The 24,222-nt window shown below is 36.0% G+C and overlaps 1 protein-coding gene across 8 annotated transcripts in view; it reads left to right on the top strand.

Moving 5' to 3' along the window:
• AFG2A (AAA ATPase AFG2A) overlaps window positions 1–24,222 on the top strand; it is a 396,356-nt gene that overhangs the window by 321,304 nt on the left and 50,830 nt on the right. For 5 of the 8 annotated variants that reach the window (NM_001438322.1, NM_145207.3, NM_001437913.1 and 2 more), the window contains one exon: window positions 11,635–11,799. In NM_001438322.1, the coding sequence (NP_001425251.1) occupies window positions 11,635–11,799 (165 nt within the window). Of the gene's footprint in view, window positions 1–11,634; window positions 11,800–12,323; window positions 12,495–24,222 lie in introns of those variants that run through there. The other 3 variants (XM_047449690.1, XM_047449691.1, XM_047449696.1) reach the window with 2 other exon arrangements.

Below are 24,222 nucleotides of genomic sequence, written 5' to 3' on the forward strand. Positions count from 1 at the left end.
ACACGCTGTTCCTCTCAGAGGATGTGGAAACATTGATGACCTCTGCAAGTGCAGGCAGGCAGTATCCACAGCTCTGCATCACCACTCGGCGTCACCACTGTGCAACCCATCAGTCCTGTGGTGCCCGTTCAAGTTACATTGTATAAATCTGTCCTACGGCATCTGTATCCTCACCATCTAATAACTTTAGCACAGAATATTGTTTAAGAATGATGGAGAGGGAAAAGAAGACTTTGAGTCAACAAAACCTTTGTTTGTTTACATTTACCATATCATCCATTCTTTGTAGTATATATCAGAAGACTTTCATTTTAGGTTTTTAAAAATCGTTTATATGTAATGAGTTAAAAACCTTAGTTATCCAGAAACATATTCTGAGCAACATGTTTTTGGTACCACCTGCTGTCTTATATATTTCTTGTCTGCATGCTTCTGTATACCTAGTAGGTGTCTGTAGGCAGATCACCTTACATTGTGATTTCTTTTAAATTGGGAAAAAATATATGTCCTTTGAATATCTTATGGTTCAGCAGGGGCATTAGAAAATATAAACAACTGTTGTGTGATATGTGCAAAAGAAATGTGAACAATGTTTAGGAGTAATATAGAGAAGAAAATGACAGTTTCTTTGTATAGAAATGATTTGAAAGAATAACTAGGATTTTCCTGGAGTACATGGCCTGGGAGTAGACAGGACTGTTCAGATAAAGAGATCACTATTTATAAATTAGAGAGGTGTGAAGAATATGCTCATAGCAATTTTAGGGGAAGTACAAGGAGTTCAGTATTGGTAGAAAGTAAAGGGCCTGGAGGGGTCAAATAACAGGAGACGATGCTGGGAAAAGAAGCAGAGGACAGGCCATTTGTCCCCACTGCCACTACTCCCTTACCCCCATTAAGAACCCATGGGTTTATATATTTTTAAATATCTTAAAATATGTAAATATCTAAGGAAGTTCTTCACTCCTATTCTATCTTATGGAGACCCTTTTTAAAGAGTGAATTTTATAGAGACATAGGAAATGTTAGTTTGCATTGTTTTCACTTTGCCCCTATAGTTTTTTAAAAAGCAGATTCACTTTTTACAAGAGGAAGAATTTGGATTAGTGCTGGATACATACTGTTTTGACTTGTAAAATGACTCTTTAATAGAAATGGACAAAGAAAATATGCTAATAAAATAACTTAAGTATGTGTATGTGTGTGCATGCTAAATTTTTTTTTCTTCTGTTCTCTTCATTTTGTGCTCATCATCAATTGCTGCTATTTACTGTGGTGCATTTTTCCTGAACACCTGCTGTCAAATGCATCAAGTCTTTTCTTGCACAGTGCTACAGGTTTTTGCAGAACTGAGCAAGCCCAACATTAGACAGATAGCCTAAAGACTGATTGATTTATTTGTTTTAATACAAATATACGCTAACATGTTGACATACAGAAATCTGTTTCAAATGAATTATTTTTTAAAGAACAAAGAACTTTATAACCCTAGTACCTAATCCTATGCCTGACACATAGTAGATACTCAGCAAATATCTGTGGGACTGAACTGCTCTGTGAAGCCTAGCTAAGCACTAAAGACTCCCACAACTTTTTCAGCTTTATGGGGAAGTGATTATCTTAAATAGTTTTAATGCAAATTGAATTATTGTTTAAAAAGCATGTCCACCAGTTGAAAAGTCAAGTCATGGAACATTGTTAAGATCCAGGTTTTAATTTAGCAGATATTGTTCTCTTTGCAGAATAATTACGAATCTATTTAAAATAAATGCTTTTTTATCTTTATCTCCCTTTGCACAATGGAGTGGCATTGTCAAAAGGGGAAAGTGTCTAATAATAAGTTGAAAACATTGTGCAGTTATACTTCAAAGACATCTCTTAAATTGTCCTGTTCAGGTTCACTGCCTCTGCTATTATTCATGTTCTAATTTAGGGCCTCGAAATTGTATTAGTTGCCTAACTGGAAGTTGCACTTCGTTCCTGTGCTTCTTCCACACTGCTGCCAGAATCATTTACTTTCTTCAACAGAAAATCAAGCCTGTCTCTTTCCTCATTAAAAACCTGCAATTTGCTACGGACTGTGAGATAAGGACCAAACTCCTTGGCATTACATACCATATGTAATGTAATTATACCTGTGGATTTTTTTTCTCAATCTACCTTCATGTCCCCATGTTTCTAAGCATCCTCTACCAGTGCTTCCCAAAATTTTTCATGACATGTCACACATGGAATAATAACCAGATGATACCACTGTCTGACTGCCTGAAGTCTCTGGCTTCTCTGAGCTTTCTGGCCCTTCTGAGATCTGAAGGAAACAATATCTTAAGCATACCCTCTAATCCATTCCCAGTACAACCACTGGGAAAGTCTGCCCTACATGTGACCACAGTAAACCTTTTCGCCTCCCAGGAATGGTTTGTGCACTGCTTTTCTTCTTTGCTTATAATATTCATTCTGCCTTTTCACAGTTTCTCAATCTGGTAAATTTCCCCTCCTTGTCATTTAAAGCCCGGCTCATTTGGATTTGGGAAATGTTTCTGGAATTTTTTTAAGAATATGTGAAGCTCTTTGTTTCCAATTAAAGCCTTATCTTAAATCAATTAATTTTGACTCTTAGAAATTCTCTTTCCATTTTCTGACCCATTTGTAATAACTTAATTTTAAGGTTACACCTACTGTACCAATAATGATTTTGTTTTTAAAAATACAAATAAAAATCTCCCTTCCTTGGCTTTTTGGAAACAGTTTCTTTCCCCCGTAAATTATATTGCCCATGGTTTCATAAATACACATCTCAAATGGGTTACTTATGTAAAGGGTGTGTGTGCTTACTTGCGTGCGTGTGTGTGTGTGTGTGTGTATCACTACTACTAATACTAACATAAATATATATATCATTACTACCCACTTAGCTATATTCTAAAGTTAAAAGATCTCAAAATACTTCTTGTGAAAAGGTTTACTAAGCCCAAAGTTCTAAGAGAAAAATTATGAAAATTGGTTTCCTTTGTTTAACAGAGCCTATTGCTTATTTTAAGGGTAATTGATCTTTTGTTTTGAGACAGGGTCTCACCCTGTCACTTAGGCTGGAGTGCAGTGGTGGATGCCTCCCTAGGCCTCAACCTCCTGGGCTCAAGTGATCCTCCCACCTCAGCTGGGACTACAGGTGTGTGTACCACCACACCCGGCTAATTTTTATGTTTGTTTGTTTGTTTGTTTGTTTTGTAGAGATGGGGTTGCGCCATGTTGCCTAGGCTGGTCTCAAATGCCTGAGCTCAAGCGATCTGCCTGCCTTAGCCTCCCAAAGTGCTGGGATTACAGTTGTGTGTGTGCCACTGTGCCTAGCCTGATTGATTTTGATCTCTAACACATTCCTCTCATAACTATTTCTGCTTTTCCAAAAAAGTTTTATGTATGGGTTAGGTAAATGTTTCTGGTTTTATCTCATTAAATGATTGGCTTTTAGTATCAGCATGAATCAAGTATAATTTGACTTACCTCATCCTTAAATTCTTACTTAATTTGGTAATTATTGTGTATTTTATCATTTTCTACTAGTGTCTTAGCCTGTTGATCAAAGCTTGCTGCAGTTAGTTGTTTGCGTGTTGATCTTTCTCTACTTTTTAGTGTTCTTAAAGGTAAGGACCAAGTCATATGCTTCTGTATTTTCCTCACAGTGCTTTGCACACAAAAAAAAAATTGTCTAGTAGGTGTCTTTTTAGTTACTTTTAAAGTATCTTGTGGGTAGTTAAGACTTTTTTATTCAAATTTTATATAAAATCTGTTTTTGTTTTCTGATGCCTGTTCAGCAGATGCTTACCCAGACTGAAGTAGTTTACATTCTTTTTCAATGTCCCAAAAGCTTAATTAGCAAATAATATAATGCAGACTGCTCCTTGCATAGGCTCTCATGGATTTTACATACTACTGCTTATTTTATTAGTCTCTAAAGTCATTCTTCTCCCAGTGTAATTACACTTTTAAAAATTACTAAATTGCATAAGAGATATTATGAAATCGTATTCCTGGAACATTGAGAATTTCAAGCTTTAAAAGACAGCAGCTAAAGTCAAAGATACAGCAACATTTTCAAAAGTTAGCTTTGTACATCTCTTGGCTGAGTAATGTGAACCCACACATGGAAAGATTTAATATATACAGGAATGTTCTGGGCCTCTGTAAGAGCTGATCCCTCTATCAGGTTTCTGTGCAGACAAGCATGTTTCTTCTATCTATTAGGAAAGGGTTATGAATTGAGCATTTCAGAGGCTATGGTAAGAAGCAGGGAGAGAAGGGGGCAAGTAGAGAATTGCTGAATATCAATTCTTTTTAAATATTGAGATTTAGAAATAAAAATCAAGAATCTGTATTTTGACTTGACTTTTCAATCTATTATTCTAACCTCGTAGCTCATTGTTCCATTTATTCAAAGAACATTAACATCTGCCATATATTAGGAATTCAGAGATTGCTAACATTGCCTATGTTCAAGGATCTCATAATCAAGTACTGAGGATAATTATACAAGAAGAGTAATCACTATAATAGCATTTAATACTTACTGAAGCATACATGCCATATGCCAAACACTGAGCTAAGCACATTATATCAATATAGATATAAAAACACCTGCTGATTTGTCCAAACACACAGCTAATAAGTTTTTGAGCTAGAATTTTCCTCCAGCTAAGCTGATTCTTTTGCCCTCACTTTTAACCTTGTATGCCAAATTACAAGTTTAAAATTCATTTATGTACTTGGAAGAGTCATAGAAGTTTCAATAAAAGAGAAGACTTTTAAGCTGAGACTTGAACAAGAAGTGGAGCTTCCCTGATAGACAAAGAGATAAAATGTCATTCTGAGCAGAGGGAGAAATATGTGCGAAAACAGGGAGGCAGAAAGCAGCGTGGTGAGTTTTACTAACTGGGTGTTTAGGTGCTCCTAAGCAAGTCCAAGTTCAAGTATAGCATTTCAAGTTTCTATGATTTTAGTGTAACTCCTATCTTATCTACAGCTCCTTTTCTTTTCTCACAGGGTGAGAAATGCTATACTTGAACTTGGACTTTTTTCTTTGATGTGCAATTAAATGATTAGAAAATAGGAAGTTAAGGTATTTGCAGTTAAAATGATCACATTAGCCATGATGTAGATAAAGCAAGGAAAAAGAAGGAAAGAATAAGACTGCAGGCAGAAAAACAACTAGCACAGCAGTTATGATATTCTAGACAAATGATTGTGTTGGCTTGATATCACTGAGTAAACATTTATTGGGTGCCTTATATGTGCCATAGCTGAGCTTACAGTGTTGAATAAAATGAATATGATTCCTGCCATTACATACAGTCTACAATCTGTTGGGAAAGACAGACAGTAAACAAACACACAAATACACAATAAAGAAGAATGGGTAGAAGTGACAGGTTTAAGAGAGATTTAAGTAGTGTTAGCCAGGTCTATGCATTAGTTGGATTTAGAGGAAGAAATAGATACCTAGAATAAATCCAAGGTTTCTTTGAGATAATTCAGAGCCGTTACCAAAGATCCACCTTTCTCCCTGGTTTCTGGAACTATTCTCTCCATGAATCATGATTCATTGATATGTTTTTATTAAAGTATAAAGGCTCAGTGCTGCTTTCCTTTCCTAGAGGAAGGCACTCCCTATATACACATACACACCCTTGTTGATTATTTTAAATGAATGGGAGCCAATGGGACCTGATTTTTCAAGGTGTCTATTTTAATACTTTTGTCTGAACAAGTATTTCTATGTTAATGAAATTAGATTTGAGCATTTGATAGAACATGAAACTATAAGTGTTGAATTTCAGAATTTATAAAAAAGAAAAGGCAGCCTTATAATTGTGGTATAAGGTTTGATAGTTAAGACTCCTTCATGTGAAATACCAGATGTTTTGAGTCCTTGATATAAAGGTCAGAAGAAAAGAAGGATATTGGTTTCATAATAAACTAACATGTTTACAGTAATGACTATGCAGTGTAAGCTGTGGATATTTTGTTATATAAGAATGGCAGGGGGTCCTAGAACTGGGGGCTGGAAGGCCCATTTAAAAGGTCATCCAATACGATAATTTTTAGTCTGGAGCACACAAGCAGAGTTCAGGTGAACTCCCTGGAATTATTTGCAAAATTGGGAGTATTTTTTGTATGTATAGTTTGAGGGGAATTTCTGTCAAATGCACATAGGCACCTGTAATTAAAGAGCCGCCTTCATTTTCACACATGAGGAAACTGAGGCTGTTACAGATGTAGAGACTTGCCCAAGGTCTTGAATAACTTCTCAGAAAGGGAGTTTGTTCTATGATTTGTGTTTTTTAATAAAGTTTTAATGGACAGACCACGATATCCAACATGGCCTTGGAGCCATAGGGTTCAGAATATTAGAAAGCCTTGGCTTCTTTTTTCATTGAGTTGTCATATAGTGATTTTAATAATAATAGAACATGCTATTATTCAGAATACATTCTTCCACCCTAATATCCCAAAACAGTATTTTTAAAGAAATTCTAGGAAGGGTGTTTACTCATTCAGAGTTCTACAGGAAGGAAGGCTCTTTCCTACTATTTTTTAAGCATAACTTTCACTGACAAGACCAGGCCAGAAAAAGCCTAGCTGGCTGTTGGCCCAGACAATGTTATAATAATCATTGAAGTATACTCAACCTGCACTGCCTGAGGATAGCTACAGCTAAAAAAAATAAATAAATAAGCACACACAGATGTATGCTGAGTGTTCCAGTGACTTAGCTGACATGTATGCTGTATATCCTTTGCTGTGTTCTTTCAACTATTAGAAAGGAAATTTTAAAATAGCCTAGAATTTATTATTCCAATAGGGTGAAAAGGACAACTTCAACTTTAAAAAAATAACCAAGCTCTCCAAGGCTGTATCCCCAGCAAGTAAATCAATCTGGCATATAGTAGATGCTTAATAATTTTTTTGATGAGAGAATTGTTGAAGTTTGTTAGTTATATTTCAGAAAGAGAATTTTGTTTGTTCATCAATAATGAGTATCATGTAGTGTCAAAATAGTAAAATTAAAAAGGACTGCTTCAACATTTAGAAACCCCAGATTTCAGCGCAGTTTCTGTAAGTTATTGTACGACCTTGGGCCTCATTTTCTTTGTCTTAATAAGGATATAATAATATCTAATTCCCAAAATTTGGGGGAATATTAAATGAGCTACAGTATGTGAAAGATGCTTCATAGATCCTTAAGTGCTATATAAATATTAATGTTATTTGTCTTAGATAACATTTTCAATTTTTTAAATATGTATTTACTGAAATCATCTTTATTTCCTAAGTCCTGTATTTGTTTTAGGTAGAAAGAAGTGATTTCCATGATTGAAATGGAGTTTTGAATTCTTTGATAAAATACATTTTAAGGTGTACAGAATTGTCTGCAAAGAATTAAAACACTCATTTTTAAGCAAGGGAAATATATTTATTTTATGATTTTCCTAATTGAATTTTTGCCAGCTAATTTGTACGTAAGTTAAGGATTGATTGATATATATTTGATAGACAATCACCCTCTTCTAGGTATTATAACATATACAAAAAGTATACAACAGCATTTTCCAAAGTGGAAAAGAAATATTAGTTTTTGAGATGTTCCATGATTAGAGTTTGGGAATTTAAAATAGAATTTTTACATACTACCATAGGTTTCTCCTAGATATTTTTATTACCCATTAATATAATTTCCAAAAATTCCTTCATATAGAAACCTATACAAACCTTTTATTTTGTTTCTACACAGTGTTATCCAAATTTATTTAACAAGAAAACCCTTTTTTCCATTACATTTGTTAACATTCACTCGAGTATTTTATAAAGCACTGGTATGAGATATGATGATATGACCCCATGGATTTGAACAGTCTGTTTGGAACTCTAAGTATGAACATGGTGAAGTACATTAAAACAAAACAAAACAAACAAAAATAAAACAAATTAACTATGAGATTGTGAAATGGTTGTAATATATGTCACCAAATTCATGGCTAAATCATAGAAATTGATCTGTCACAGCTTGTTAAATAAGTATTCTTTCTCTTACATGACTTCTTACGTGATTTTTTCCAAACTGCTTAGTCAAAGAAGATAATCTTTCCAGATAGAGAAAATTTTAAAATATCTTTATTCCTCTTTAAATTTACTGATTTATAAATACTGGGAGTCTAACAAATGCAAGTTACTACTCTTTATTAATCCCTTTTATTTAGTTTCAGTTTACACACAATAATTGTATCAACTTATATGTACAAGTCAATTAATTTAGACTTGTGTAAACCTGTGAAACCACCTCTGCAATTAAGGTGCAGAACATCCCCATCACCCTCAAAAGATTGCTTTTGCCCTTTTGCAGTCCATTTTTCCCTCTTCCTCAGGTTGCAGTCAACCACTAGTCTGCTTTTTGCTACTATAGATTAGATTGGACTTTGTAAATATTTTATATAAATGCAGTATGTACTCTCTTATGTCTGTTCTATTTGACTCAGCATGATGAGACTCATGCACATTGTTGAGTGTTCAGTATTTCCTTTCTATTGTTGAGTAGTATTCCATTATATATTTTGACTATTCACTCATAAGTTGGTAGACATTTGGGTTGTTTACAATTTTACTATTGTGAATAAAGCTACTGTGGGCTGGGCACAGTGACTCACACCTGTAATCTCAGCACTTTGGGAGGCCAAGGTGGGTGGATCACTTGGACATGGGTGTTTGAGACCAGCCTGGGCAGCATGGCAAGACCCCATCTTTACTGAAAATACAAAAGAAATAGCTGGGGCTGGGCACGGTGGCTCAAGCCTGTAATCCCAGCACTTTGGGAGGCCGTGGCAGGCAGATCACCTGAGGTCTGGAGTTCAAGACCAGCCTGGCCAGTATGGCAAAACCCCATCTCTACTAAAAATACAAAAAATTAGCCAGGCGTGGTGGTGGGCGCCTGTAATCCCAGCTACTTGGGAGGCTGAGGCAGGAGAATTGCTCGAACCCAGGAGGCAGAGGTTGCAGTGAGCAAAGACTGCACCACTGCACTTCCAGCCTGGGCAACAAGAGCGAAACTCCACCTCAAAAAAAAAAAAAAAATAGCTGGGCATGGTGGTGCATACCTGTGGTCCCAGCTACCTGGGAGGCTGAGAAGAGAGTATCACTTGAGTGCAGGAGGTGGAGATTGCAGTGAGCCAAGATCACATCACTGCACTCTAGCCTGGGTGACAGAGTGAGACTCTGTCTCAAAAAAATAAAATTTGTGAACTTCCATATACAAGTCTTTGTGTAGATATGGGTTTTTTCTTCTTAGGTAACTACCTAGATTATTTCACAATAATTGGGTTGTTATGATGTGGTGGGTTTAACTTCTTAAGAAGCTGACAAATAGCTTTCCAAAGTGGTTGTTCTATTTTATATTCCCATTAACAGTGTATGTAATTTCTAGTTGCTCCATGTCCTTGATCGGTCTTTGGTATTGTTAGTGTCTTTAATTTTCATCATTCTTATAATGTAATGGTATCTCATTGTGGCTTAAATTTGCATTGATCTGATAACTAATGATGTTAAGTATCTTTTCACATACTTACCTCACAAAGGAAGCTGTGTGGTTAGCAAGTATGTTCAAATTTTTAGTCCAGTTACTTTGGGTTATTTTCTTATTATTGAATTATGAGGATTCTTTATATATTTTGGATACAAGCCCTTTGCAAATATGCATATTGTGAATATTTTATCCCAGTCTGTGACCTGTCTTTTCGTTTTCTTAAAGGTACCTTTTGAAGAGAAATTTTGTTTTGATTTTTGTAAAGACCAGTTTGTCCATGTTTTTCTTTTATACTTCTAGAAGTTTTGTAGTTTTAGCTCATACATTTCAAGTTTATTTTTCAGTATGGTGTGAGGTAAGGGTCAATGTTCATTTTTTTCATATGGATTTCTAGTATTCACAGTACCATTTCTTAAGATAATTTCCTTTTTGAGTGCCTTAAAATCAGTATGGACTTCCTTTTTCTATTTTATTTATCCGTATCTTTATCCTCTAGATACTCTCACACTATCTTGTTTCTTTAGCATTATAAGTTTTGAAGTCAAGTAGTGTAAATTTTTCCAATTTGTTCTTTTTAGAAGTTGCTAAAAGTTGCCACATTGCCTCTGTAGATACACACAGAGAGAGATTTAGACACATACCTCTTTTTAACCACTTTGAGATAATTCACATACCATAAAATTCACTATTTGAAATATTTAATTCATTGATTTTTAGTATATTCACACATATGTATAACCATCACCATAGTCAATTGTACACATCTTATTCATGCTTTCTCCTATTACCAAGAGCAATGTCTGGGATGTAATACATGCTCACCAAATTTTTCTGAATAAGTGAATCCATTAGTTGTAAAATAATGTAGGCATTAGCCTCTAGTAAAATATTAAGAAGGCTCATTTGACTGCATTCAGCTCTAGAACTATTCTTTTATTAGAACTCTGCTATTTTGAGGGATCTCTGAAACAGCTAACAGCTTAACTCAGATATAGATACAGATATATATATATGGCTACAGATTTTTTTTTTTAAATGGAGTCTTATTCTGTCACCCAGACTGGAGTGCAGTAGTGCTATCTTGGTTTACTGCAACCTCCGCCTCCTGGGCTCAAGTGATCCTCTCACCTTAGCCTCCTGAGTGGCTGGGACTACAGGCATGCACCACCGTGCCCAGCTAATTTTTGTATTTTTTTGTAGAGATGTCGTTTTGTCATGTTGCCCAGGCTGGTCTCGAACTCCTGGACTCAAGCAGTCTGCCCTCCTTGCCCTTCCAAAGTGCTGGGATTGGCCGGGCACCGTGGCTCACGCCTGTAATCCCAGCACTCTGGGAGACCAAGGCAGGCAGATCGAACGCCTGAGGTCAGGAGTTCGAGACAAGCCTGGCCAACATGGTGAAACCCCGTCTCTACTAAAAATTAGCCAGGTGTGGTGGCATGTGCCTGTAGTCCCAGCCACTAGGGAGGCTGAGGCAGGAGAATCTTGCAGTGAGCTGAGACTGCGCCACTGCACTCCAGCCTGGGTGGCAGAGTGAGACTCTGTCTCAAAAAGAAAAAAAAAAAAACACCAAGTGCTGGGATTATAGGCGTGAGCCACCATACCTGTCCTTAAACCATATTTTAGTAGTTATTTAAGGAAGTTACAAAAAAAATTCCTTTTGATATAATGAGTGCAAATTATTTGCACATTTTTGAAAAGAGAATAGTCATCTTTTATTCACCTGATAATTGCTGAGAAGGGCAAACCTCCCATAAGTACTGCTTTTCTATTTTTTTTTTTTTTTTTTTTTTTTGAGACAGAGACCTCCTGCTCCACCCACCTCAGCATCCCAAAGTGCTGGGATTACAGGCGTGAGCCACCGCGCCCAGCCTTCTATTTTCAAAAGTACTCTTGACATTGTTTGTATCGGTGACATAGATTATGGAATCTCTGGTACTTGTTTTATTTACCAATTACGAATAATAGTGGATTGTTCGTGAAATTCCAGACATCTTTCCCTAGGTATCTTTGAGATGGAATGTCAGTTCTGAGCCCAGTTAATTCATGTTGCCTCATTTTCTTTATAGGCTTTGATGCGGCCTGGAAGAATTGATAGAATCATCTATGTGCCTTTACCGGATGCAGCAACAAGAAGGGAAATATTTAAGCTGCAGTTTCACTCCATGCCTGTCAGTAATGAAGTTGACCTGGATGAACTCATCCTTCAAACCGACGCATACTCAGGAGCAGAGGTAAGATAGTTCCCTTCAAAATACCTTAGTGGGAGGAAAGCGGTGGCTCAGGGTCATTAAGCAAAATAAATTGCTTGCCCTGAGGTGTTTTAAATGACCATACTAAGAAATCTTGAAACAGGAAGTGCAGTACATGACATAGTCACTAAGTTAAATTGCACTTTACGTGGCTTCTATTATATCACAATTGTTTTTTACTTGCTCCTATTATTTCTCAAAATGTAGTCTTCAGAGGAATAGCATAATATAGTGAGAAGAACACTAGACTAGAAGTAGATTCTTCCACTGGGCTTCTTAATACAGCAGTTTCTAACCAATCACACACTTCTCTAACTTTGCGTTCTTTACCCATCAAATGGAAATGATACTACTACCTTCCCTCCTGTTTCCTCATGGAGAGCATAGAAATAAAATTAGGATATCATGAGTATAAAGGGCAAAGCAAACAGATTGTATCATTATCATCTTTTTGTCATTTTGGCAAGTTATCTCAGTCTAATTTTGTATTAAACATTCTCTCACAGTAAAAGGGACCATCTGCCCTTACCTCTGAAGATAAACTCTTGACAAGAACAGCAAGACCTCTGTGAAAATATGAAAATGACTTTTATGTATGGCAGATTAACATTTTTTCTCTCCTTACCAACTCTTTACTTATGCTATTTTTATTTACCAAATAAAATTCCATGAAATAATTCTGCAACTTTTCTAGCTGCATTTCTTAAGGAAAGGACCAACTATGTACCTCGACACAGAAATAGCATCTGTCACACCAATGATGTAGACTTTTAATGGGAGATTAATATTTTTTTAAGTACAAGGTTACAGATTATTTTTATTCTGAATTACTCAGTAGGCTAGGACTCCACATTCTGTTTTGCTTGCTATTGTTTTCATTCGTCTTATGTAAACACCGAAGAGATTACCATATGACAGATCATTAGTGGTACTCCGAGAGTCTATTTGGAACTGAACTTAGTGTATCATGCAGTCATAGCTAATAACAACAACCAAAATAAATCCCAGATCTATTCATTGTTTTGCCCCAAGAACCATAGATATAGATATAGACAGTCCCCAACTTATGACAGTTTGACTTAAGATTTTGGGGCTTTACAATGGTGCAAAAGTGGTACACACTCAGTACACTCCTCAACTTACAATACAGCTACATCTGGATAAATCCATCTTAAGTTGAAAATAACAAGTTGAAAATATCGTAAGTCAAAAACATATATGCATTTTTGACTTAGACATATTCAACTGATGATGGGTTTACCAGGACATAGCCCCATCATAAGTTGAGGAGTATTTGTATTTGATTTTCCTCCTTTATATTTTTCAAGTCCACTGGAATAAAAAGCCATGTGGAAAGTAGCTTGAGAAGCAGTTGAAGTGCGCTCACCTTTAACTCCTCTGAAACAGTGATCTTTATGACCATCCATAAAGTTAAAATGAACATACAGTTATGGTTAACTGACTGCTCCAACATTTCTAGAATTCAGTTTTTGATTTGAGACGAGGGCTGGCATCTTGTATGATGATATGGCAATTTGCAGGAAACAGCAAGAGGAAGACGAAGAAACCATAAATCTCTCACTTGAGCCGAGTAAACTAGAAGAGCAGTTAGCAAGATATAAATATGCCTTTCTCACTTTGAAGTAATTCATGGTAGTAACATCGAAGTGCAAAACAAAAATAAAACCCAGTGAGATTCTATCTGGCTAAAAGGAAAAAAACCTCATTTGGTGCCAGCAATTATTGTACTGGCTTGCTAATTCTTATGTAGTGCACTTCTTATTTAATCTAACATGTAAGCACATTTATGATTAATTTTTATATGAGATCTTCTGAAAATCGTCACAGGAAAAGTAGCAGAAAATTCTATCTTTCCTCAAATTATATTGTTGTGTTCCATAATGCTTGGATTGGGGAGGGCATCCCATTGTGGTCCTATTTATAATTAGTATATTATTACAACTTCATAGAAATTTTGCTAACAGCTACATCTTAGTAGTTCTGTGGTTTCTAATTTAGATGAGGCAGGTTTGTTCCCTGTTGAGGGTTTTTGTTTTGTTTTGTTTTGGTCTGAATAGGTAGGCAGTTCACACAGTTGTTTTAGGAAAATTATTATTTCTTTAAAAGTCTTAAAGTTAATAAACAGGAGATTTAGGAGACGTTAAGTAATGCTTAAGATAAAAGGTTTCATTTCTCTCTCTCTGTTTCTCTGTCTTCACACAGAACCTTCTACATGGTGTGTGTTTAACAAGCACTTGATAAACTGTGGGGAAAAAAGATTTTTAAATTAGATTTAGGAAAAATAGACTTCAGTTCTCATTTGTTACAAGAGGAGCCCTCTAACTCCCTGCTGTAGACACAGCCATTTTCTCAGAGTTGGAGTGTCTCTTTGGCCACTTTGGGTATAAAAATGAAACTACTATCAATTTATTGTCCTCACAAGAGAATAGTATATTATATTCAAGATTATATAAAATTAATTTTATTTAAGTGTATACTATTAGCTATATGAACAAGAATTTGGGCAGGAAAGCCAGAGACGAGGAATTTCCTGGCACTCTAATTGTTTTTTAGAAACAAAATGTTGAAGTGTAGTGAGCATTTTTTATTTTTAGTGAAAAAGTTGTAGAGGATGATTAAGATGGAAATGATACTGGTACTTTTTTTTTTTTTTTTTTTTTTTTTGAGACAGAGTTTCGCCCTTGTATCCCAGGCTGGAGTGCAGTGGCACGATCTTGGCTCACTGCAACCTCCGCCTCCCGGGTTCAAGCAATTCTCCTGCCTCAGCCTCCCAAGTCGCTGGGATTACAGGCACCCACCACCACGCCCAGCTAATTTTTGTATTTTTATTAGAGACAGGGTTTCACCACATTGGCCAGGCTGGTCTTGAACTCCTGACCTCAGGTGATCCGCCCACCTTGGCCTCCCAAAGTGCTGGGATTACAGGCATGAGCCTCTGTGCCCACCACTGGTACTTTTAATGGCAGGGATGAGAAGAGGTTACTTTAAAAAATTATTTTCTTTTCACTTGGTTATTTATTTTGCCCAATCAGCATTGTTCTATGAAAGCTTAGACCAGCTCAGTGTTTGAAATAGCTCCTTCTGGTCAAAGTTACTCCATTTTTCCTTCGTGGAGAGGGTATACAGAGAATTGAAACACTTTTGTAAGCCTCAGGAGGCTCTCAAGAGGAAGTCTGTCACCAGCTGGAAGGGGAATACAGCCGTTAGGGAGCAGCCTCTGAGGGGAGACTGAAGCAGGTTGCGTCTTTTAGCCATCTCTGCCACCTGCCACTCATTGTCCCTGTGGCTATGGCCCTCATTGTCCTGGCTTCTTGACTGTAGCTGTCAGTTAATGAAAAAACATGTGCCATTTAAAAGCAGAAGGGAATTTCTCTCAGGAGGAAGTAAGTCTTTTTGGTTATCACTATTGTTTTCTTTTGCTCTGATTTTTGTTTTTTAAGTTATTTGTAGCAATTCCACCTCATTTATTCATTTATCTTTTATCAAATTATCCTGGTTACTTTTGGAAGAGTTTTATCTGTAACAGAAAATCAACTGTCACAAATATATTTACAAAAAAAAGCAATAACTGGGCTCATTACCCCATATGCCCTATGCTTGGGAACACAGGTGATGAGTAAGATGCATAATTTCTTCTGTGTATCAGAATTTGCTGACATAGGCCAAAGACTGATATCTGTAAAATTGGGGTTGAATTTTTATTTGAATTTGGATATTATCCTCCTTTCAGTGAATCCCTTGGGATCACCAATTTGTGAGGGAGTCAGGCCCTTCTTGGCCAGTTTGTAAATCTCCTCCCTTACATCTTCAGAGGCCAGCTTCAGCCAAGTGGGGACACTGCAGTGACAGGGAGGAGCCGATTGGGACAGGCCCTTCCTGGGAGCAGGCATGCAACTCATGATGTGGCAGTCAGGAGCAAAAAAAACACCTTCTTTTCTTTAAAATGTAAAAATTTGCTTACTATAGTGGTTTTTTTATTGCAATCTTATGAATGTAGCTCTAGAAGATCTTTTTAAAGCAATTCATTAGAGTTAAATACATTTCACACTGAGTTTTCAAAAAGCTTTAACTTCATGTAAACTTAGTCTGTTTGTTTTATTTTTAAATGATCTGTCATGCCCTGAATTCTGTTTTGTAGTCTATGCCTTCCTGGGTCTAATAATAGCACAAGATCTTCATGCCAGCTTGACATTTAAAAAATCACCTTCTAGTTTGCCTCATTAATTCAAGAAGGGTCCTATTCACTATGCTTGAGCTATTATAGCTAATAAAAGGAGAGCCTTAAATTACTTTTCTGTCTCACTGATTAACGTTTTTTCTGACATCTCTTTTTCTCCCACACAGTGAAAACAGAAGGAGCAATTATAGCCACTTAAAATGTCTGTACTCTTCTTATGTGAAATCTCTTGTGATAGTATTCCCCAAACTAAAATATCAGTCATTGTATTAGAATCTGGCATAGATTGTTCATCTGACCAGTCAAACAACACATGTGAGATAGGAATAAGGATTCTAAGGAAGGACCATTTGACCTGGTCTTAAGCGCTCTACTTATTATTGTTAGAAAGCAGCTAGCAGCAGTGTACTTGTCTCCAAAGTGAAGCAGAGCAGCACAGTACTTAGCACTCTCCTACAGACCAGGGGTCCCCAACCTCCTGGCCACGGACCAGCACCAGTACTGCATAGCATGAGTGAGTGGCAGACAAGTGAGCATTACTGCCTGAGTTCTGCCTCCTGTTAGATCAGCAGTGGCATTAGACTCTCATAGGAGCACGAACCCTATTGTGAACTATGCGTGCGAGGGATCTAGGTTGTGTGCTCCCTATGAGAATCTAACGCCTGAGAACAGTTTCATTCCGAAACCATCCCCCCACCCCATTTGTGGAAAAATTGTCTTCCACAAAACCAGTCCCTGGTCCCAAAAATGTTGGGGACTGCTGCTATGGACTGTCTGCAACCTACTTTTCCTGCCTAATCAGAAACTGCCCTATGAAAACATGCTGCTATCACCAAGTAGTCTACTATATTTGAGATCTTCTTTGCTATCTCTCTATTCTTCCTTGTGTCTTTACACTAAAATTCTGTATCTGTGCCCCAGAATTTCAAAATACTCAGTGCTCTGTATCTGCAAGTTCCATCTGCAAATTCAACCAACTGGGAATAGAAAATATCAGAAAAAAGCAACAAAAAATAACAATACAACAACAAAAAGTACAAATTTGAAAATATAGCATGACAACTATATAGCATTTACATTATGTCAGTTGTCATAAGTAATCTAGAGATGATGTATACAAGAGGATGTGCACAGGTTATATGCAAATACTATGCCATTTTATATAAGGGACTTCAGCATCCTTGGATTTTGGTATCTAAGGGGCTCCTGGAACCAATTGCCCTTGGATACCAAGGGACAACTATATTCTTTCCTTACACGACCTACTGAAATAACTACTTTGTCATTAAACCATAATGACCACCCCACCAATAAATAGCCTATTCTTTTGTACTCTTTTACACTTATTTTTGTTTTCCTTGTTTAGCTGTTACCATATTTTGTAGTTATTTTATTTTTTTAGAGACAGGGTCTCATTCTATTGCCCAGGCTGGAGTGCAGTGTCATGATCATACCTTACTGCAACTTTGAACTCCTGGGCTCAAGTGGTCCTCCTGCCCAAGCCTCCTGAGTAGCTCAGAATAGAGGTGCATGCCACTGTGCCCAGCTAATTTTTTTAAAAAAATTTGTAGACATTGTCATGTTGCCCAGCCTGGTCTTAAACTCCTGGCCTCAAGCAATCCTCCTATCTCAGCCTCCTAAAGTGTTGGGATTACAGGCCTGAGCCACTGTGTCTGGCCTCTGTAGATATTTTAATATGAGCAGCTGCCTCATCTCCCCAAACACAGATTCTCTAGGGCAGAGATCAGTTCTTGTACTTCTTAAAGTCTGGCAAAACAGCTGTCTCACACACACTCGGTGGGCATTAATATTAGATGGGTGGTACATTTATGTATTGATTCTAAGTCATTTTACCAACCAAAAATGTCAGTTTTAACATTTGCTGAAGTGGCACTTTCTAGTTTTAATCATATTTTCATATACATTATCTATTTGAGTACCCTAACTCTATGAGAGCAGTGCTGTAGCGAAAGAACTAAAGTCAAGCAAAAGAAATTGGCTTGTCTGAGATCCCACAGCAAATAAGTGACAAACCTGGGACCAGAAACCAGGTCTCTCAGTTCCACTTGAAGGACTCCACGATCTCCTAATGCCTCTGTGTCAACACAACGTTCTTTGAAACTTTCATAGTTCCCTTTGACGTCTCTGAATATTTGATAAAAGTTTGTCAATTCCTGTGAATAGTGACTTAGCAAACTAAACAGCAGTTATGAAACATCTGTACCATTTTTATACCTTTTTCTCTTACAGTAATTGTCTTTACCTACCTTGTTTTCATCTTCTCCAAAAAAGTATAAGCTACCTAAAGTTAGGAACCTTGTTTTTATCAATTAATTTCTTTTATTTCCTAGGTATTGTGAATAATGTTTGCAATTTAGAATGAAAAGTATAAACAACGAAGTTTTATATAATGTATTTATGTGGCATGATCTACTGATGTGCAGAATGCTATAGGAGAAAGGAGGAGGAGTAACTCACACTACCTGGGATTAAATGAGATAGATGATACCCAGAAGAATTTTTTTCTGAGTTTTGATGGGCAGATGGAAAGGCAGAGATGAATGAAAGAACATGGTGTGGTCTAAAATCAGTTAAAGTTTGAATATGATTGGCAGAAAGAGTCTTCATGTAGAAGTAGTAGGGGATGAAGCAGAAAAAGTAGGTCAGACTTAAATATGAAGGAACTTGAATATCATCCGAACTTGCTTTTCTCCTTTCAGCAATGGAAAACCATTGAAAAATGTGATCACTGTTGTGGTCAGATTTGTATTATTGAAAGATTTGTGGCATTTGTGTCCAAAGCCACCACTAGCTAGCCTTCCAAGCACCATTACACGAATTAGAAAAAGGTGTTCCTTCACCCCACTTGGTGACAGCTTTTTGTTACAGCAAAAAGCTTGTCAGAGCATGAGCAACATTTCAGCCCCTATTTGCCCCCCTTGGCTGGGCACCCTTTTGTAGATACAAGCTTTACATCTGTACAAGGTGTCTTATTTTTGTCTTCTCCACCTTTATCTCCCTCACAATGCCTAGCATAGCACCTTATATAGAGTTATTGTCACTAAATAAACAAATGGAGATTTTACATCTCAAATATATAAACTACTTTCTGTAACTTTAACATTTACCTCATGAGCCCTTGGATAAAAATAAATTGGGACTATTAAAGATGTCTTTTGTAGAAGATACAGAAATGGCCAACAAACATATGAAAAAATAGCATCACTAATGATCAGGAAAATGCAAATCAAAACCACAGTGCAATACCACTTTATTCCTATAAGAATAGCCATAATCAAAAAATCAAAAAATAATAGATGTTGGCGTGGATGTGCTAAAAAGGGGACATCGTTACACTGCTGGTGGGAATGTAAACTAGTACAATCACTATGGAAAACAGTGTAGAGATTCCTTAAAGAACTAAAAGTAGAACTACCATTTGATCCAGCAATCCCACTGCTAGTATCTACCCAGAGGAAATAAGTCATTATATGAAAAAGATACTTACACATGCATGTTTATAGCAGCACAATTCACAATTACAAAAATATGGAACCAGCCCAAATGCCCATCAATCAACAAGTGGATACAGAAATTGTGGCATATATATACACCATGGAATACTACTTAGCCATAAAAAGGAACGAAATAATGGCATTCGCAGCAACCTGGATGGAATTGGCAACCATTATTCTAAGTGAAGTAACTCAGAAACAGAAACCCAAACATCTTATGTTCTTACTCATAAGTGGGAGCAAAGCTATGAGTATGCAAAGGCATAAGAATGATACAGTGGACTCTGGGGACTTGGGGGAAAGGGTGTGAGGGGAGTGAGGGATAAAAGACTACACATTGGGTACAGTGTACACTGCTTGGGTGATGAGTGCACCAAAATCTCAGAAATCACCACTAAAGAACTTATCTATGTAACCAAACACCATGTGTTCCCCAAAAACCTATTGAAATAAAAAATGAAAATAATAATAAAAGGTCTTTTGTGCAAACTTTAACCTGCCATGAGGTACAGCACTTGTTGTAAATTGCTAGAATATTAAAAGTAAGGTGGATTATATCCTCTGAGCCATATTATGTAACTTTGAATATAAACTCTAAGGACAAAAGCACAATCTCTGCACCTGTTTAGTGGCTAAAATATGGCTCTCTGTTGTAAATGAATTATGAAGGGATCTTTCAGAGCAAAAATCAGCATGTGCTAAAAGTAGATATTTAGGACTGTAACTTTTGAGCTAGTCCTGTACCACTCCCCTTTTCCCTTCTTCAGCATTTTATGATCTACATGCTAAGTGAAGAAATTTGGTAAAAGCCAAGACCCATCATGGCCACCTAGAACAATATGAGTTTAGCCAAATCATTTATCATTTGTAGAACTCACTTTCATCTTGTAATAAGGGGATAGGAAGATGGTCTTTTTATAATCCTTTCAAGTGTTAAAAATCTGTGTGGTTATATACCTGTCATAAATTAAATTAATTGTATAAGGAATCCCTTAGGGATTGGACCTCCAGGGATATGTAGTATGGTTATGCTTCTCTTACAGTCTGTCCAGAAAGCTGGGATCTTGGGATCTTAGTCAATGCCTCTAAATATTTTCTTCTGTGGCCAAAAGATATTAATTATGGCACCAGAAGAATGGGGACCTTAAATGACTCTGACAGTGCACAGAACTTGGATTTTAATAAAATTCTCCTTAGCAAACTTTAACAGTTTTCCACTAAGTAGAAAAGAAAATTTTACATGCTCAGAGAGTTGAAGGCCTAGTGATTTTTTTACCCTGAGATCTTTGGTTGTTATGCTTTTCAACTTCCTTAAGAACAGCTAATCAAGTTCACTATCTATGATTTTGGGGATACTTGGATAAAAAGCGTTATAGAATGGAAATATACAGCAGCCGACTTTTTCCTTAAACTCTTTGTTGGGAAAATAAATGAAGGTTGCAAAATTATAATATTGTTCATTTTAACTTAACAATTTTTAAAACTTCAATGTATGGAGATACAATGTACTTACAGTGTATGGAGATTCTCTGTATTTCCAAACTTCACCTTCTGCTTAAATTGGCAACAAAAGTACATTCAGCTTACCTGAAGGCTATTTTAGATAGGATGTTTACACCAAAGCTAATCATACTCCAGAACACCTTGTGCTGCCATACCTGTATTGCTAACTCTATGCCAGGTATTTAAAAGTGCTGTGAGTTTACAAGAAGTATTAGTCAGAAAGGAAATGGATATGAATGAGAGGCTGGTTAGCAACAAACTTAATAGAACTTTTTACACCCAAACATGGAAGCCTTTTTATAGGGAAGAAGTATATCCAGTGAACAAGTTAGTCAGGACCTACCAGATAATCTAGTCCCCAAGGCTGATATCCAGAGTAAATCTGTATCTGTGGAGAATTACTCAAGCCAATGATAATGCCGATTTGAGCATTTTAACATTCCACCTTATTTCTCTTCTTCCAAATTCTCAGTCTCTCTATTTCCTCATTCTTTTTCTCCAATATTTTATATAAACCATTTAATCTGTGCTTCCTCATCTTCAGAAGAGTGATAAAATGGAGGTGGGGGTTAGGTTCTGTTAACCTGAGAGGAGCTTATGATGTTAAAAAAGAGATGTGCAAAGCATGCTGTTAACTCTGTAGCATAGATTCTGATAGTGACAGTTATTTTTGTTTGGTTATTTGAAGTGATGGAAGGCTGATTTCTAATAACAACCTAATCTGTATATGAAAAGATACACATGTAAAAGCTGTTTCTCCTTTTAGGAACTCTTTTTACTATATGAAATTGAATTATGGTTAAGTACCCTGGGTTATGGAATGAGAAAGCTGTGAACCCAAATGCCAAGTCTTCCATTTCCTAGCTATGTGACCTTTTTATTCATATGTAAATAAGGATAAGAGAGGTCCTTAACTTCACAGTTGTCCAGATTAGATGACATAATTTATATAAGGTGCTTATCCTAGTAAGCATATAACAAGTGCTCAGTAAATAAATTTTGTTATAATCAGCAAATTTAATTTGATATCTAGTTTAAAAAATCTACAATTTGCCTAATTTTTTCACATTGTGTTGCCATAGATTTTATGAATACTCATAATAAATGTTTCATGTATATGTCTTGTTTTTAGTTTTAATGGTGTGTTCTTTAAACTATATTTCATAGTTTACATGCAGCATTTATTTCATCTGATTTATATTTATAAACATCTGTAATCCTATTTTTATTTTTTCCTTGTTAAAGATGTATACTATTTTTTACTTTTCAAATGTGTAAAGCTAATGTTTTACACTTTCAAATGTGTAAAGCTAATGTTTTTTTATAAACTCCCTGTGTAATATCCCTATTTCGGCATATTCTTTAGTTAATTGCTACTTTCTCACCTATAGCTTATTCCTAACTTTTTTTACATGTCTTGTTAATTAAAAAGAAAAAAATAGTAACCCAACTTTAGAAAGTTGAGGGTTTCTGTGTCCACTAGAATAATTGTTTAGGAAATAAGCATACCTCATTATTTTGCTCTTTCTTTGAAGTTAGGATTGGACCCCAGTGTTTAGGTAATAAGGCTGAGAAGTCTAATGCTGAGGACAGTAGCACCACATATCTGTTATTCAGTGTATGAAAGACACAATTGACATGTTCTCGTTCTTCATCCCCAAATGACCATAATTCTGAGAAGAGTTCTGAAAGAAGTCATTCTATTAGAATGTTATTAAACTTTATAAAATGGTTGTTCAGAGCTGCAATGCAGTGGTTACCTTGTTCTTAAGGAAACCCTCCACTAGTTTTTGGAAACTGAAGAACAGAATTTAACCATGCCTTAGACTGACTAGAAAGAAAAGTAGAAAGAATTTAGATTCATAGGGTTTTCTCTTTTTATTTTATTTGTGTTTCAAATTTCCAAAGATTATTTCTGATGTTCTTTAATAATAGCTCACTCCCTATTTACTATTAAATTCTGGAAAATGGGTTTTGCTTTTATATTTATAGCAAAGTTTCCCTGTTTAGGAGCAAAAGAACTTTAGGTATAGTAAACATGCTACTTTACCATTGTGGAAGTTCCACATCATAAATTAGATATTTTCCCTTTTCCTTCAAAATGAAGTCACACTACTTTTGGCACTTGGACAGGACAATCTTTCAGTGACAGCAAAATTAGCCTTTTGGCATATTTTTATTCACTTTGAAAGAATCCTTAAGGAGCGGTTTTATGATTGAAAGCAAGAATTGTATTTACTTTGCCTAGGGTAAATTTCTTGCCTGAATATGTAAAAGAACGTAAGTCAAACACTGTTAGATAAAAACAAATTAGTATCAAAAGATTTCATTATAATAACTTGTCTATATTTTATGACATAAAATAGTATATAACTAAGTTCTGTATTATTTTGAACTTTTATTTCTGCTACTAAGTAGTGATACATCTTGAGGAACTCCAAGGGGCCTAAACATAAGTTTACACAGGTATTTGAAGAATCAGTTGACTCACTATCTGAACTGAGTATGTCTGTAAAGCTATGTTTAAATATATCCCTATATTTAAACTGATCATGGCTTATAAGCTAATCACCCATGAAGAGTGTATGTTGTCTTTCTTAATGCCAGTATGTTAGACAATCAATATATAATTTATGTTTATATTAATAGACACACACAGTTTCCAATTGGTATTTCGATGCCTCTTTCCTAAATATGAATTGAAAACTAAGGACCACTAATATTTGAAAAAAGCTAAAAATAGACAGTCTAAAACAAGCACAGGGAGGATAGACATAATTAGGGAGCAGATGAAAAGAGAGACAAGAATAATATGGCCACAAAACAAGCACCAGAAGCTCTAAAATAGAAGGCTCAATTGTTCCTTAATTGAAAATGTAAAACATTCAGGTAGAAATAAAAAATAAATGGAAGAATTGGATGATCAAGTTGAAAGTCTCCCAGAAAGTCAAACAAAAAGACAAAGAGATGAGAATTGTAGACATGGTAACATCTGACTAATAGAGGTCTCAGAAGGAACAAAGAAATCAGAAGAGAGAAAACTATCAAGACTTCTTTCCAAGATTTGAACATTAAATTTCTAGATTGAAAGCCTCTACCAAGTGTCTGGCCTCAAACCATCACATTCAAAGGACTAAAAATTTGGAGTGCCACAAATTTATCAACAGCAGAAGCTGTACGACAGGAGAG

Source organism: Homo sapiens, chromosome 4 (assembly GCF_000001405.40).
Source record: "Homo sapiens chromosome 4, GRCh38.p14 Primary Assembly".
NCBI classification, from domain to species: Eukaryota; Metazoa; Chordata; class Mammalia; order Primates; family Hominidae; genus Homo; species Homo sapiens.